Raw genomic sequence first — 18,041 nt, 5'->3', positions numbered from 1 at the left:
AGGCCAATTTTTTAATTTTTTGTATTAGCCTGTTCTCATACTACTAACAAAGACATACCTGAGACTGAACAATTTATAAAGTTAAGAGGCTTAATTCACTCACACTTCCATGTGGCTGGGGAGGCCTCACAATCATGGCAGAAGGTGAATGAGGAGCAAAGTCATGTCTTACATGGAAGCAGGCAAGAGAGAGCATGTGCAGAAACCATCAGATCTCATGAGACTTATTCACTACCATGAGAACAGCATGGGAAAGAACCACCCCCATGATTTGATTGCCTCCCACCAGGTCCCTCCCAAAACACAGGGGACTTATGGGAGCTACAATTTGAGATTTGGGTGGGGACACAGCTAAACCATATCAGATGGGGTCTCACTATGTTGCCCAGGCTGGTCTCAAACTCCTGGGCTCAAGCGATTCTCCTGCCTTGGCCTCCCAAAGTGTTGGGATTACAGGCATGAGACACTGTACCCAACCTGAAAGTGTCTTAAAATTGATTGTAATGATGATTGCTTAACTGTGAATATATTAAAAACCACTGGGTATACTTTTTTTTAAAAAAGAGGAGTCATATAGTACATGAACAATATCTCAAAAAAGTCATGTTAAAAAAGCGACCTCTGGGTTGGGAGCTACTGGTGACCTCAGTGAAAGCAGTTTCTAGAGTGGTAGAAGTAGACTCCAGATTAAAGAGGTTGAGGAATGAATGAAAGATGAGGAAGTAGGTAACAAAAGTCATCTAGCCTTTCAAGACCTGTGACAAAGGAGATAGGGTGGTACTAGAAAAGGGGGCAGGTTTTATCAAGGATAGACTGGATAAAGAAAATGTGGTACGTATACACCATGGAATACTCTGCAGCCATAAAATGGAAAGAGATCATGTACTTTGCAGGGACATGGATGGAGCTGGAAGCCATTATCCTCAGTAAACTAATGCAGGAACAGAAAACCAAACACCACATGTTCTCACTTATAAGTGGGAGCTGAACAATGAGAACACATGGACACATGGTGGGGAACAACACACACTGGGGCCTGTTGTGGGGACAGTAGAGGTAGGGAGAACATCAGGAAGAATAGCTAATGGATGCTGGGCTTAATACCTAGGTGATGGGTTGATCTGTGCAGCAAACCACCATGGCACACATTTACCTATGTAACAAACCTGCACATCCTGCACATACACCCTGGAACTTAAAAGTGGAAGAAAAAAAAAACACACAAGAGAAATGGAAGGAATTTAATAAAATTTGCCACACTACTCTCAAGATTGTAATGATATATATGCCCAACAGTGAATTTTGACAGTACCTTCACCTCATATATAATAAACATTTCAAATCTTTGTTCTCTGAAGAGGTTAAAAATGTATCTTTCTCTTGAATTAATTTCATTCTGTTATCAAATTTTTTTTGTTACATATGTTTATCAACCATTTTAATTTCTTTTATGAGTTTCCTTTTCAGGTTATTTTCTTTCTCTTCCTTTATTTTAATAAACAGTTATATTGTCTATTTTTAAAAAGGGAGGCAGGCTTAAAGGAAATGTGATTTTTAAAAAAGACATAATCCAGTAGAGAGAAATAAATTGAAGCTATTAGACCAGAAGAGGGGTGGGGTTTGGGGGCGGTGACAGTTGCAAGGTGCTGGAGTCCATAAAAACTTGAGTTTCAAATATTGGAAGAGGGTCTCTCTTTCTGATTTAAAAAGAAAACAAAATTCTTCCTAAAATCTGTTTAGGTCTAGCCTCTTCTCCAAGATAACACGGTTGCTTTCACCAAGAGTTCCCGTTGTTTTCACTTAACAATCCACTTTCCCTTATTAGTCAGAATTAGATTCAGGTAAAGAAAAGGATCACATTGCAAGAAACATAGTTCCCAAGGATTATAACAACATGTCTATTCTTTCATTTCAAGGACTGGCTTTGACATCAAAGAAGTGAAATAATAGTCTCTCTCAAAAATGTTGTTTTTATTTAGCTAAAAATAGGACGAATGCCATCTATATGGATAGATATGAAAGTGCAGTTATTTTCAAATTGCTAAATAAATGTTTCCCCCTCAAATCTGAGCCTAGATGACCATTTTGGAACTCTGCAAGGAACATAAACATGGAACATTCCAATTTCTCTATTTCCTAGAATACAAAATTATTTGGTGATGGCTTTTTTTCCTACACTTGATTTCTGGGTTATTTTCTAAGGTTTAGTCCTGCCAGCCTTTCTAAAATATTTGTTTTCTGAATGCTTAAATTCAATCCCAGCTGAAAGACCCTGACAGAAATCCCTCATTGTAGTAAAGGGTTGGTGGTGGAAACTAAAAGTGTAGAGACGCTGGGTGCAGTGGCTCACACCTGTAATCTTAGCACTTTGGGAGGCCATGGCGGGTGGACCACTTGAGGCCAGGAGTTTGAGACCAGCCTGAGCAACATGGTGAAACCCTGTCTCTACTAAAAATACAAAAATTAGCTGGGTGTGGTGGTGCATGCCTGTAATCCCAGCTGCTTGGGAGGCTGAGGCACGAAAATTGCTTGAACCCGGGAGGCAGAGGTTGCAGTAAGCCAAGATCATGCCACTGCACTTCAGCCTGGGCGACCGAGCAAGACTGTCATAATAATAATAATAATAATAATAATAATAATAATAATAATAATAATGTAGTGACACGTTACCTTTATTAATTTTCTTATCTGTAGGCCATAAATTGTATCCTGATAGATAATCTGAGCCTGGGAAAAAGCACTCAGAAATGCAATGGAAGAGTTATCACTATGGGGACTGGCTCAGCCATGACACATTTGTAAAAAAGGAAGAACTTCTAACCTCAGTAATGTTTTAGCGCAGGAAGCCTTCTTGCCAGATCTCATTTTCATCAGTTGGAAATATGCTCGATGATATGAATTTTGGTTGAGCAATTTGTATTTATGGATTGAGCACCTCTTTAGCCACAGTGGAAAACTGGAAAACAATTATTAGTATTTTTTGTGTTCTTTCTACAGAAATGTTGGCACAGAAGCCAGAAGTTACGCAGTCCATAGGAAATGTTGTTACAAAGACATCCTGAATGTCGCTTCTGATACAGTCATCCACGGTGCTATGTCATCATTCTGCCCTGAGCCACTGTGACTCATTCTTTGCCTTCATGCTCACACTGAATTCACATAAATTCAAGACAAAATCCCTCCATATCACCTTAGGAAAATGGAATCATTTATTTTTTGCTGTGTTAATATTCCCTTATTATTCAACTTTCCTAATGCACACAATGTTCATTTTAAATGGTAGTAGATTTATTTACAGCAGAAACAGAGAGAGGTGATTTGACCTAGTGATTAAGAGCACACACTCAAGAGGCCACGCTGCCTAAACCTGAATCTTTGGCACTTACTACTAGTTCAATAAGCTTTTTACTATGCCTCAGTATTCTCATAAGTAAAATGGAATAACAGCCTGCATAGGACTACGGTGAGAATGAAATGAATTCATTCCCATAAAGAGCTCAGAACAGTGGGCATATTTAACATCCTCAGTAAATGTTCAGCCATTCTTATTAGCTCTTATTTTAAATTAAGAAAATGATTCACATTATACCATTTGAATCTAAATATTGACTACGATATTAGGAAATGTGATAGTACCTGAGGAAATTCTCAAGGGCTAAATAAACACTAACACATCACAGAGAACCAAGAAAGGTTCAAGTCTAAGGTGCAGGAACAAGACCTTGGGCTGCAGCTATGGATGTGACGCGGGGCCTTGCTTTCTTGTCTGTAGTGAATGCTAGCCTTGAGCAAGCTATCATTCCTTGAATTCAATTTTTTTGTTCTCTCAGCTGAGTATACAATTTATACAAATCTGAAAAGAATAGAAGTATCTATCAAATAGTTTTCATGAAGTTAAAAAAATGAAAAATAACATGGAGGTCCCAAAGTCCAAAGTATGAGTTTGAGTGGTCCTGTCCCATTAACACATTTCCTTGTGTGAACACTTTAATAAGAGTTCCACTAAATAAGGCAGAGAAAAGTTCAAGAGCCTTTCTAAGGCTGCTATGCCATGCATGGTACTGGAATATTGCTGACTTCCGTGCTGTGGCTGACCAGAAGTGGGACTCCTGGCCTGTGACTCTATTTCTAATCTGAATATTCTTATTATTAATAATGTGACATCCCATAAATCACTTTTTAGGAAAAAACAGAATTGGTGGTATATCATTTGAAATAAAATTAAAATAATGATGATTTCTAAGATTACTGGACTTCTGTAAAACCTGTTTCACCTGAGATGACTAAAATAAAAACTCATTAAAAAATAATGAAATGATGGTGTTTTACACAATGATTTATTTTAAAGCTTAATAGGAAATCACAAAGTATTTAATAAAAAATAGTTTTAAATACATTTTTAAAGTCTTAAGGAAAGTCTCTATTTATAATCCTCCCACCTCCACCTCCCAAGTAGCTGGGACTATAGGCACATGCTACCACACCTGGCTTAAAGGTGCAGTTTTAATGGCAGATTTCAGACTCCTTAAGCTACATGATGGCTAAGAGTCAGCTTAAGGACTTAAAAAATGTACATTTATAAAACATTGAGGAAATTCACCAAAATGTTTTGTAAACATTATAAACAAACATCTACTATATAATGTGAGAGACAGTTTCAGGATCTATTTAGAAAGGTTTAAATCCTGTATTTTATAATATTATTTTATAAAGTTACTATTACTATGAAATTTGCATTACACATTCTGTGTCACCCTTATGTGTCACCTTAACTAATATCAAGGACAGGTTTGTTAAAATATACGTATTACACTATATACATACATACACAGACATAGTGCTTTTTTCCCCTTGCATAATGCTGCTTCATAAGAACATATGTGGTCTAAGGAACAATCAGAGCATAGCAAAATGCTGCCTTAATTGTTTAATTAAATGTTGTGTGTCCACATGGTCTGGAAATGCTGCTTCAGACTTCTGCGCAGCAACATAGCTTCTCTGCAGATCTCCAATCTGCAAAAAATACAAGAATAAGACCATGGAATGAGATCAGAAAAAAATGAGTAAGGAAGTAAAAAAGAAAATAAGACATAGTATCTGCATGCTGTAGAAATTCAAAGGGTTCTTTTCTTTTTTTTTTAACAAACCCACAACTAACATCATAACTCAAAGGGTTCTTAAAGGCAAATTGCTTAATTATGCTACTTTGATTTTAGAATTCTAGATTATAATTCAATCTTGAAAAATACATGAGAAAGATAAAATAACCAATTATATAAATAATTTCTAGCTGTCTGGTAATGAATTTAGAAACCTATGTTTTCTTTTCCTGTCACTGATGATAGTATTATAAACGTAAAGTGATATTTACATGCTGAAACAGCCAGCTCTAGATAGCTCAGAAAACTTAGAGAAAACTATCTGTAAGGTACCACAAACAAAAATATATTTTGATTAGAGTTGTTACCTTTTAGACAGAAAATTTAAGCAAAAACTGCTGTATTTAAGGCATAATAACATGTTTTGAGAGGTTTTAAGTGGTGCTGGCACAATAATGTTGGGAAAATATCTGGTTTTAAAAGTTTATAAAGGATGTCTCTGATTTTCAATGAACTTTATATTAATTCCCAAAGAAAAACACATATACTGTCTGAATGTATCCTTTTTATTGATACATAATAATATATTTATGAGGTACATGCAATATTTTTATACAAGCATACAAGGTATAATGATCAAATCAGGGTAACTGGGGTATCCGTCACCTCAAACATTTATAATTTCTTTGTGTTGGGAATATTTCAAATCTTCTAGCTATTTTGGGATATACAATAAATTATTAATTACAGTTGAGTATATCTTGATTCATGGATACGTTCTAAAAAGGAAGAGGCTTTTTCATGTATACACTCAAAAAATCTAGATAAATTCTGGTAGATTTCTGGTAACAATACATACGTATTAAAACAGAAATTAAGTTTCCTTTTTTAAATCATAGCACTTCTTTTTAATATACTGCTTTCTGTTATGGAAGTGCAGCCTTTTGCTTAAAGAAGATATCTCATTTGAGTTATATACTATTAAAATGTGGTGCTATTCCCGAAGGTAAGCCAGCCCTCTTGGGGGTTTAACTAACTAAGCAGTAGCACAGTACAGTGGGAAACACATGGACATCACTGGGATCTGGGTGTGAATCTGAAATCTGCCACTGCCAAGGGACGCAGAAGTCTTTTAACCTCTTTAAGCCTTGGGTTCCATTAGAAATTAAGCTGCTTGAGGTACAGGTTTTTGTCTTTTACTCATCATTACATCCTCTGTGCCAAAAACAGGGCCTGGTATATAGCAAAGGCTCAATAAATAGAACATCAGTCATGAAAAAAATGAGTGAGGAAGGCGGGGTAGTTGGGAGAATTAGAGAAAGTATTTAAAGCACCTAGAACAGTGGCTGGTACTTACAGGTGCTCAATAATTACAACTCATGAATGACAGTTTATTTTATTTTCAATACAGAAATGACAGTGTAGATGACTTCATATTTATGCTATGAAGAATAACATCTTTATAAATATCTTATGGTCTATCAAGACCCTAATTTATATCACAAATATTTTTAGCCATTTCCTTATTCTCAAAACAGACTCACCTTCCAAGTACAAGCTAGTTATTAGATGTCTTTTTCTTGTTTTCTTATTGTTAAAAATGGCACGTGGTTCCCTTTAGCTTTCGGATACTAACTGACTTGCAACACAGTATTATTTCCCCCATATTCTTCATAGCTAAGATAGTTTTCACATTAGAATATCACTAATTTTACAGCAATTGTACCAGAAACTTGGTGGCAATATGATCTACAAATAATGCACAGGATTTTGTTGCTGTAAAAGCCAATAACTAAACATTTCCCAAACCAGGAGTTATTAAGTGAGTATTTCTTCAATGACTAAATGCCATATTTCAAAACATAAAATAATTCTATAATCTATAATGGAGTTTAGTCAATATTCAGCAATAAATTAAAAGTTTTAAATGCTGTCCCTTGAAGTAAAGATGTATAAATAAATGCAGTAATTAAGAGTTTTAAAAAGTCATTTCTTTCAGGAAGATGAGGTTAGAATTTCCTCATTTATTTGTACTTTTTTTAAAACAAAGAAAAAAAAAGAACAGATCAGATGATAAATTAATGAAGAAAGAGAATACCTTATCAGAGATTGTTGCAAAATTAAAATGCGGTTCATACATATGGGGTGCTAATGATGATGCAGTTTGTAATAGTGCCCTTGCCTGTGTATAAAAATAAAGAAAAGAAAAACCAAAGGCGTATGAACATATATCAGCACCATATTTGTGTTTTTTTTTTGGTAAAAGAATTCTTTACCTATGACAGGACTTTAATAACACGAGCCTGTGATAAATACCGACAACATTCCTCATGAAATACAATGACTTCATGAAATACAATTAACTACTGATACCTTGCCAAAATTATGTTAATAATAAATGCTTCATAAGACACAGAAAATAAGAGAACTGAAAATTCAGAGTACATTTAAAGTTATTTGGGAACCAATGTTCTCATAAAGGTTATATTTCAATATGACATACAATCTGAAATACAATCTTCTCAATACTACAACATTCTACTTAATCTAGTTTTTACTGCTGTTGATTGACTAAGCAGGCTCTAATTACCTTTTCTTTAATGTAATAACAACCAAAAAAACCATTGTAAATTTCAAAGCCCAAAATTCTGTGCTGGATGACAGTGAGCAAGTATTTAATATAGTGCTGATCAGTTTTGTTAGTGAGACAGCAATTGAATATGACAAGCTTTCTGTTATCTAAGATACTCAAAATATAACATTCACATTTTTTTTTTGTGATCATAGGATCATCAATGCAGAGACCACTGAGCAGCATGAGATGCTTATACATTCATTAAGACCACAAATTCAACATTACAAACTGCTAACAACCCCTCAACTTGTAGCTACATCTAAAACTTCTATCCATGACCCTGAAGACAAATTTGTATAACTTTTTTAATGGAAAACAAAATGATATCAAGCTAATATAGAATGAAAGATATAATTTTTAATAAAATGAAGTTCATATTATGAAATCTTTCACCAAAACATTTCAAGTCAATTGCATGCTAGAGAAACTACAGTAAGTAAGAGGAAAAGAAAATTACCAATATGGGAACAGAGAAAAATCACAAAAATCACTTGTTTCACCATATGAATACAGGCAAAGTTCCTGACAAAACAAGTGTCCATTTTAGAACAGTCTGTAAACTACAAATCTATCTTCCTTACTTTGGGAGAATTTATGCAATAAAGGTAACATCCAATGACCTTTCTTTCCTTGTTGTTGTTAAAAGTTTATCATTGTGCTTAGAAGACCAGGCTAATGTACTGGCATGCTGTTCGCCATGTCTGTGACCTCGGGTAAAGTTACTCACCCTTCTCAAGCCTCCGTTTCTTTATCTCCAAAGTGGGGAATGTAATAATATTTGCCCTTGATGGCTGCTAACATTGTATGAACATATTTAGTATTTTAAACTTTTTCTTTTACATATATCATTATAATAATACAATTTATTAAGCATCTACCATGTGCTCCATACTATGCTTCCACTATGCCAAGTGCATGATCTAACACTCACAAACAATCCCTTCAAATCACTACTGTTACACTCTATTTTATGTATCATCCATTCATTCCACAAATATTGACTGAGCATCTACCATACGGCAGGTACTGTTTCTGATGCTGGGAATATAACAGTTACATGACAGATATGGTCACTCTTTTCATACAGCTGACATTCTACATCCTACACATATATATGAAAATATCTGATAAAGTGGTAAATACTGTGAAGAAAAAAAGTAAGAGATGTGATAACACCCAAGGGCTCTTTTAGACTGATGGGGGAGATGACCTTTCTAAGAAGGTGGCATTTAATCTAAGACCTGAATGACAAGACAGAAATTTGTCATTGCAAGATCTGAAGGAAGAACACTCCAAAGGCCCTAAAGGAAGACAGAGCACTGTCTGTCTGCAGAGCAGCAAGGCAGCGATGTGTCTGCAAGTCAGTGGGGAAGAAGGAGTGGCAAAAGATGTGGTCTGAGCAGGAGCCAGAGGGCAGGTCACGTGGGGCCTCAAAGGCCATAGTCACGGTTTCAAGTCCAGATTTTATTCCAAGTTGAAGGAGAAGGCACTAGAGGATTTTAAACAAAGTAGTATTAAACAGTCTTGGTTTTAAAAAAAATCTCTCAGGTTGTTCTGAGAAGAGTGTATCATAGAGTGCACTGACTTGCTGATGTAAGTGGAAACAAAAAGACCAGCTAGGAGGCTCTCATAGTAGTCCATGCAAGAGATGAGAGCAGTCTGAAGAAGGGTCATGGGAATGGAGAAAGGTGGCCAGGCTCAGAATGTGATGGGACTCTGAGGTCAGAATGACAGGGCTTGCTGAATATGATGTGGGCGCAGGTGTGGCAGGGGGAAGCAATAAAAAGAGAGAAGTTTCGGGGTGGCTCCAAGGATTTTGGCTTGAGCAGTTATGTAGTAGACAGGGGATGGTGACTGGTAGAACACTTCACTAAGATAGGGTAGACTGGGGAGGCTCAGATTTGTCCTAATAAAATCAAACATTCTATTTTGGACTCAGAATGGTTAAGTAACTTGTCCCAAGGTCACACAGCTAATACACAACAGAGCTGGGATTCAAATCCACGCCTGTCAGATTCTAGAGCTCATTTTAAAATAACATACGCTGTAATGCTACCACACATGACAGCTTTTCTCTGAAGAAAGCAGACTGCCCAGCATGCCGCTGCCAGTTCACTGACCTGTTCAACGTGGCCCTTCCGCATCTCCAGCACAGCCAGGTTGTTGTAGGCCTCGGCGTGGTTGTTGTTGTTGACCAGAGCCAGCCTGAAGCACTGATGGGCCAAATTTGTATCTCCTATTCCCTACAAAAGAAAGCCTATGTTCACACCCATGGGTCCGTTTACTTCCTCCTCCCTTCTTTCCTCATAGGTATCTCTTCTGCTACCAGACAAAAAGCATCAAGTACCATACAATTATAGAAGTCAATGTGAATTCTACGTAAGTGGATTTAACCTAAGAATATAAAATGAGCCGCAATGACTCCCAGAAACTTCTAAATTGCCCCGTAAGACTACTGCCAAACCTGGATGTAGGATAATTCCTGAAAATTTCTTCAAACTAACTTTTTTGTTTGTTTTGAGACAGGGTCTCACACTTTGTCACCCAGGCTGGAGTGCAGTGCTACGATCACAGCTCACTGCAGCCTTGACCTTCTAGGCCCAAGTGATCTTCCTGCCTCAGCCCTCAGAGTAGCTGGGACTACAGATGTGCACTACCACACCCAGCTAATTTTTAAATTTTTTGTAGAGACAGAGTCCCACTATGTTGCCCAGGGTGGTCTCAAACTCCTGGGCTCAAGCAATCCTCCTGCTTCAGCCTCCCAAAATGCTGGAATTATAGGCATGAGCCACTGTGTCTGGCTCAAACCAACTTTCTATAACAGAAATTATATCAGTAAGACAACATACCACAGCTACATGTCCCAAGTTGTACCAGACATCAGCTGCCTCTTCTTCATTTTCAGCCAAAGAAAGGGCACGTTCAAATGAGGTCAGAGTCATATCATACTGCTGGGCATAGAAGCAACACAGCCCCAGATTGTTAAAAAGCTGGCCGTTATAAATGCCCATCTGCAGCAGCCGCCTTTTCAAAAAAGAACACACAAATTTTGGTGTCAGACCAACTTTGTAAGTTTTAAGACATATATATATATATTTTACACAGTTAAAAATGAATTCATCTTGTGATTTTTGATACTCCTTAAGAATATAAATACGTGTTATAGTAAATGAAAAAATGTTTAAAGCAAATACAAACACCTCTCTTTCATAATGGTACTAGTCATGGGGAATGTGTCTAGAGACAAAGACAAACAACTGATCTAAGTTTTCTCCCCAAATGCTTTGTTAGAGAACCAAAATAAGAAATAGTCACAAAAAGTAACGCCCACACACTTCAGCTTTATAAAGCTTTGCTGCCCATAGGGTAAATTCCTAAAACCTAATCTAATTTGAGGACTGCGTTTAGCATTAACCTCTACGTTTTCAGCTGACTGGATCCCGTTTTTGGCTCGCTGTACTTTGTGCTTCAGCTGTGTCTACTGAACTCCAATGAGCTTCCACTGAGGAAGACAAGACCATCAGCGGATCCTTACATTATCCACTTAGCTCTCACACTGCAGCTCAAGAGCCCCATTTGCTTCTATGCATAATTAATCCCATGGGACAAAGGACAAGCGAGTTCATATGAGCAAATGAAAATCCAGCCCAGCTGCCGTGAGAAACCCATGACCCACTTTGGGGGTTGGGGAGTAGAGTCAGCTGCAGGTGCACAGAATAGTGTTCTTATTATTACATTTTATGCCTCCAACACATATTTGGAAAGAACCCTTGTCAGCTGCCAGTCATCTCTTTCTATATTACCCAAGGGCTAAGGAGGAAATCATAATTTAAAAATTAATTTCAGAAGTCATATGTAGGATGAAATAAGTACTTAAAAGAGAATCAGTGAATATAATTTATTTAGACTGAAAAAATATTGGGACAAGAACCAACAATGCTGCACAAAACAGGTGATTCTGTTTCAGGTCCTCATCAAGGTTCAGAACATGAGGCCAAATGCTCTTTGCAAATCTTTTCACCTTTCAATTTCAGTGTCTTTATGTTTAATGGTATTAACGGAGGCAATGATGATGATAAGTTTTAAGTAACTATTCAACTTATTGGTTGATGACAAAATGGCTAACACATACAATGACAATGAGGTTTAAAACTCAGTCAGTTGTCCAGTGTGTTTCTGCAAGATGCCAGACATCTGCATGTTTCCAAATTATTGGATGTCACTTCAATGCTCATTATATATCTCAGTGTTGACATTTGAGTTTCATAAAGACATGGCCTATACCTTATTTCTCTATACTTTCATTCCATCTTTCTTATTATTTTATCAATATTTCACAGGAAAGTGGTTCTAAGAATTGGATGTGAAGTGCACCTGTAAAACCGGAGAGCTATTTCTGGCTGATCAGAATAGAAGTGGTTGCTTCCAATGCATGCGATGGCTTCCACATGAGTATTGTCTTGTTTCAAAACTTCTTTGTAATATTCTGCTGCTGATGACATATTGTTCATTTCCTATTCTCCATCAAGAGAGAAGAGCAATATTTTATTAATATTGGACAAAAAATTATTTTTTTCTGACTGATTTAAGTCCATTCATTCAATAAGTATTTATTGAGAGGCTACCATGTGCCAGACTCCATTCTAGACCCTGGGGATACAATATGAACAAAAAGAGAAAGTCACTGTCCTCAGGGAGGTGACATCTGGTATGAAAGGCAAACAAATATGTAATATAAGAGAAGGTTAAGTGCTGTGAAGAGAAACAGAGAAGGAGAGAGAGAGCAGGGAGAGTGTGCTTCAGAAGGGGTGGCGGAAGGGGCCACTTTGGAGGAGGTGCTATTTGAAAAGACCTGAGTGAAGTGAAGGATCAAGCCCTGAGCATATCTGGGGGAAGCTCACTCTGGGCAGAGGGAAGAGCAAATGTATGAGCCTGAGAGGGGAACGTGCTTGTCACATATGAAGAACCACACGAAGGTAAATGAGGCTGGGAAGAGGGAAAGTGGCACAAAAGGAGATGAGAGGCAGCCAGGGCCTTTGTAAGCCACGGTGAGAACTTCAGATTTTTTTTTTTCTAGTTGAGAGAAATCCATTAGGAGAGGAATAACAATCATATTTGCATTTTGAAAGAATAACTTGACTGCTGCATGCTAGACATACCAAAATAGGAAAGAGTGGTAGCAGGAAGATCAAAAGTCCAGGAAAGAAAAGACAGCAACCAAGACCAAGCTTAGAAATACATACAAAATGAAAAACTAAATAAACCTTCTACAGTTATTATATATTCTTTCTAAAATACTGATAATCATAAATGTATGCATCTAATGTTATCAATGAATGTTATATTTCTCAAGTCCACCTTCAAGGCCCTGTTCAGGCTCCACATCCTTCATGAAGATTTCCCTAATGCCTTCACTTCACATAGCTGTCTTCTACCTCTCAACTTACATGGTGTTTATTATGTGAACTTGTTCTCATTAGAGAAGGACTCATACTTTTCATTAAATTTTAATCATATCAAATATAAGAGACTCTACTGATTGTTAAGAAGCACCATGCAGTGCTTTTTTTAAACAGAATTTTTATTTGATCCTCACTGATATTTAGACATACTCATACACAGATTGCATCACAGATCACTCTTTTGCATACTTTGTGGTAAGAACATTTAAAATCCACTTTTAATATTTCTTAAAAGTGCTCCACTATTGTCTCCAAGATTTTCTTCCAACCTATGGACAGTCATTCTGCTATGCTGATACCTGTGTTTTCTTGATTTTCTTGATCTTACCAGCAGGTGTCAACAAAAGCTTTCAGGCTACAACCAGTAATAATTACCAGGTTCACCATGCTCCCAAGAGTAATTACCCAAGTTTCCATATAAACAGACTATGACAACTACATGGCAACTGCCACTTGGCCATAAAAAGATGCTATCCATTTTAAGATGTATCTCAAGTTCAGAGATGTTAAAATGTGAAAAAAAATGTGTTTTTAGAGTCCATGAAATATGGTAAATTCCTTTAAAGCAAGATCATATGTGCCATTTCTTAGCACAAAATTTAGTGTTCTAGAAACTGAAAAATTAATAAACAAGAATTAAACAACTCTAAAAAATGTTCTTAGCTTCCCATGTTTCCATTAGAACAGAGGTTCTCAAACGTTTTGGTCTAAGATTCCTTTTAAACTGTTAAAAATTGCTGAGAAGAAGTTTTGTTTATGTAAGTTATATAGATTAATATTAGAAATTGCAACTGAGCTATCTTTAAACATTTACTTATTAATTCATTCTAAATAACACAAAATAAACCTATTACATGTTCACATACATAACATTTTTATGAAAAATAATAAGCTCTTCTGAGTGGAGAAAGTCTGTAGGTTGGTACAACTATGTTTGTGACAGGGTAGATTAGTCTGTTTAACCCAGAGCGAGAAGGTTGTTAAGTCCTTTTGAGCATAGGTCTAAAGCCAAAAGCTCCACTTCTGCTTTTATCTGTAATCAAGCTAATGGTCTGACCTCTATTTGTCGAAATCTTGTATCTCTCTCTCAGTTGGTTCTCAACATGGAGAACAGGGATGTAACTTATCAGTCCCATAAAACCCTAACAAAACATTCACCAGTTGACCCAAATCTATGTTTTATATATATTTCTTCATGTGCTTTATATTTGAAATTCTTTTTCAAAGCCAACAGCATCCCACAGTGCTAGGCTTCAGTGTTACAGCTTCCAAAGGTGGCAACGCCCAATGCAAAGAAGGCTCAAGCCTCAATAAGCCAGTTGGTTCAAGACTTTGGGTTCTATAAAATTACTTTTGAATACTTGTATACTTAATTAATGGACACAGAAATTAATTTATGTAATCTCGAGGAATTTTAGACTGAAACACCTATTGTACTGACAACCTCGTATGTAGGTTTTCAATTAAGTTTTATAAACTTATAAAATATGTGCTTATACTAAATAAATGTAAACCTTACAAAACGGTACAAAATTAAAAGTAAATGCCCCATCCCCAAATTGTAGTAGGCAGAGGCTCTGTTAATAGCTTCTTGAGTATTGTTCAGGAAATTTTGTTCATACATAAGCATACATATGGGTGTGCATATTTTAACCATAAACAGAATCATTCTATACATTCTAATATACAGTTTATTTTTTCACTCTCAGTGTCTTGACTCTTTCCATATCAAAACCAAAAGCTTTACTTCATATTTTTAAATAATACTTCTGCATAGTGTTCCATCAATACAGAGACCATAATTTATTAAACCAGTCCCTTTTTGTTCAAGCATATGTTTCCTTTTTTTAACCAAAAAACATGCTATAAAAACATCTTTGTACAGATCTTTGTGCACTTGTATGAAAATATCCTTAAGGAAAATTCCTAGAAGTAATATGGCCAGGTCAAAGAGCATGCACATTTTAAAATATCATCAATAATTGCAAACAACTTCCAAATGTTCATACATGGAGCTTGTTTCTCTACACCCTTGGCAACCCTAGATAACATAGAACTTCTTCATCTTTGCTGATCTGATTGAGTGAAAAATGGCTTATCACTGTTGTTTTAGTTTTTTATATCTTTAATTATGACAGAGGTTAGGCATTTAACACATCAGATATTATTTATATTTCTCTTTCAGTGAACTGCCAATTCATATTTTTTGTCTGTTCTTCTATCCTATCCTATCTTTTGTCCCTCCACGATTGTGTGTATGGGAGTCTTGGGTGGAACACTGCCCTCCTGGACACAGGAGAGCTGGAGGCTGAGGTGTGGCTCAAGAATCCCTGGGCACTGACTGTGTTCTATTCCAGATGAAAAGAGCCCGTGTTGATGTTGACCATAGTTCAACAACACAGGAAGGCTCAGTGTTTATAAACATTCTCTTCAGAGGAAAAGTATAGATGGTTAATTAAGTTCTTCCAAATAGGTGTCACCAAGCCCTAAGTACAAAAGGGGGGCGGTATAGTCAATGCAGCTGGAACTTGGTTGTTGTCTCATCTCTGTGGTGATTTTACTTTCACAGAGAGGGTCAATGGCCACTGTGTAGGCTGAAAGGAAACAAGAGCCTAAGGAAAAGCCACACCATGACATGGAAATACCTCGTTTCCATGTTTACATTCTTGACTAAATAGATGAGAATTTGTGTGTGCGTGTGTGTGTGTGTGTGTGTGTGTGTGTGTGTTTAAATCTCCCATTTTCAGCAATTTTTAAGCAATGTGTAGTTTGAGGAAATCAAAAGCAGTCTTTTGTCTGTCCCAGGTATGCCAACTATTTTCCCTGTTTGATATTTTTATCTTTTGTTTTGTTGTATATGGGTTTGGTTTCTATTTTTTGTTTTTGCCATTTAGAAAATTTAACTTTTACATTCTCAAATTTATCAATCTTTGCTATTATGGCTTTTTGACTTTGTGTCATGATTAGAAAAATCGTCCTCATTCCAATTTATACAAATAATTCATCTGTGTTTTCTTCTGGAACTTTCAGGGTATCATTTTTTGAAGTTTTAAATTTTTAAAGTTTTAAATCTGGCAGTAATTAATAGTATAAATCATTACTCATCCAGCTCTATTTTTAAACTATTTATTAAATAACCAAGTAATGCAATTGGCTTAATAGGCTATCTTTCTCACATCTTAAATTTTCATATATATGAACACACATTGACTCTATTTTCTTTATTCCTTTATCAGAGTTGTTTAAATTTTACTAGTTCTAGAATAGATTTTATTAATGTAGACTTAAAATTACATTTTCAAGTATATAAATGCCATTGCAAGTATATAATAAATTTGGTATCAAGTGATTTTTAGTGGTTATTTTTGATCCAATTCACAAAATGTAGACACAAAATCTTTAATTAGATTTTTAAATTATTATTATTTTTATTTTTATTTTTGAGATGGAGTTTCACTCTTGTTGCCCAGACTGGAGTGCAATGGCACGATCTTGGCTTACCGCAACCTCTGCCTCCTGGGTTCAAGCAATTCTCCTGCCTCAGCCTCCTGAGTAGCTAGGATTACAGGCATGTGCCACCAAGCCAGGCTAATTTTGTATTTTTAGTAGAGACAAGGTTTCTCCATATTGGTCAGGCTGGTCTCGAACTCCAGACCTCAGGTGATCTGCCCACCTCTGCATCCCAAAGTTCTGGGATTAAAATAAAATTAAACAACTGCAGAAAATGAATGCTGCAGTAGTTTTCAAATTTTGTTCTGCAACAGAATCAATCACCTAGTGGGCTTGCTAAAAATCCAGATGCCTGAGTCCCACCTTCCAGGACTTCTGATTCAGAGGAAGAGGATGGGTCATACTTCCCATCCACTCCCAAGGTAATTTCATACACAGTAAAGTTTGAAGACCTCTAGAATAACATTTCCAGGGTAAGGTTTTTAATTGCAAATGCCTTTCAACAAAGAATGGCTAAAATTAAGACCTGTCTTTGAAATGAATAAACAAAATACCTCAAGAAAAACTGAAACCACCAACAAAGAAATCTGGCAAGGATAAATCATTTTAAACAATGAACAATAAGCAGTTCAACATATTCATCCTAAAATAGACAATATTTAAAAGATATCTTCAACAATGAAAGATAAAAAAAAGAAGAGAACATAAAGGAATGGAATCCCTCCAGCCAGGGCCAAGCATGATGTATGTAACAAAAACCCTAAAGGCACACACAGTGCAGGCTGCGGTGCTAAAACCAATTTACTGATTAACTGGACATCTATTGTCACATGAAGAGAAAAAGAATACACTGGAAATCTGACTTTGGTGTGGTAAACCTTTACATAACGGAAATTAGCTATGCAAATTCAAGGCAAAAGACAGAAATACTGCCACCAACTATTTCAAATCTGTGCTTAGTCCTTGATCACTCTATTTGTGCATGATTGTCCCTACAGCTAAGATGCTTTCCTCTCCACTTCTTTCTTCCTTCAAGTGTACAGTCAACTTAGAGCAGGGAAAGGTTGAGAAAAGGAATCCACTCCAGAGCTACTCCGTATCACAGCCACAGCAACAGTGACTGTAACAGAGGCTTGGAAGGAATTCTTCCCACCAGCAACCATGCAATAAAGATGTGATAGTTCTCTAGCTCTTTCTGCTAGCACTTCCTGTCTAAGAAGAGAAGGGCAAAAGGGCTGAAATGAGCAGAAGGCAAGGGCCTAAAGGTCAGAGCTCCAACTGCACTGGCATAGTTACCATTGGAACAAGCATGAATTCCACTGGTTAAGGTTGTTGGTCAAAGTTTTATTCATACTCAATTTAGAGTCCAGAATATTTTCATTGATTGATCAAAGG

The 18,041-nt window shown here is 36.4% G+C and overlaps 1 protein-coding gene across 11 annotated transcripts in view; it reads right to left on the bottom strand.

Annotated features, from left to right (window-relative positions):
* TTC8 (tetratricopeptide repeat domain 8) overlaps positions 1,228–18,041 on the bottom strand; it is a 56,927-nt gene continuing 40,113 nt past the window's right edge. For 5 of the 11 annotated variants that reach the window (NM_001288782.1, NM_001288781.1, NM_198309.3 and 2 more), the window contains 5 exons: positions 12,109–12,248; positions 10,584–10,758; positions 9,855–9,977; positions 7,198–7,281; positions 4,311–5,013 (listed from right to left, as the gene is read on the bottom strand). In NM_001288782.1, coding sequence (NP_001275711.1) covers positions 4,897–5,013; positions 7,198–7,281; positions 9,855–9,977; positions 10,584–10,758; positions 12,109–12,248 — 639 coding nt within the window. In that variant the 3' untranslated portion in view covers positions 4,311–4,896. Of the gene's footprint in view, positions 5,014–7,197; positions 7,282–9,854; positions 9,978–10,583; positions 10,759–12,108; positions 12,249–18,041 lie in introns of all 11 variants that reach the window. The other 6 variants (XM_011536433.3, NM_001366535.2, NM_001366536.2 and 3 more) reach the window with 3 other exon arrangements.

Source organism: Homo sapiens, chromosome 14 (genome assembly GCF_000001405.40).
Source record: "Homo sapiens chromosome 14, GRCh38.p14 Primary Assembly".
NCBI classification, from domain to species: Eukaryota; Metazoa; Chordata; class Mammalia; order Primates; family Hominidae; genus Homo; species Homo sapiens.
This window is presented reverse-complemented; position numbering and strand designations above follow the sequence as displayed.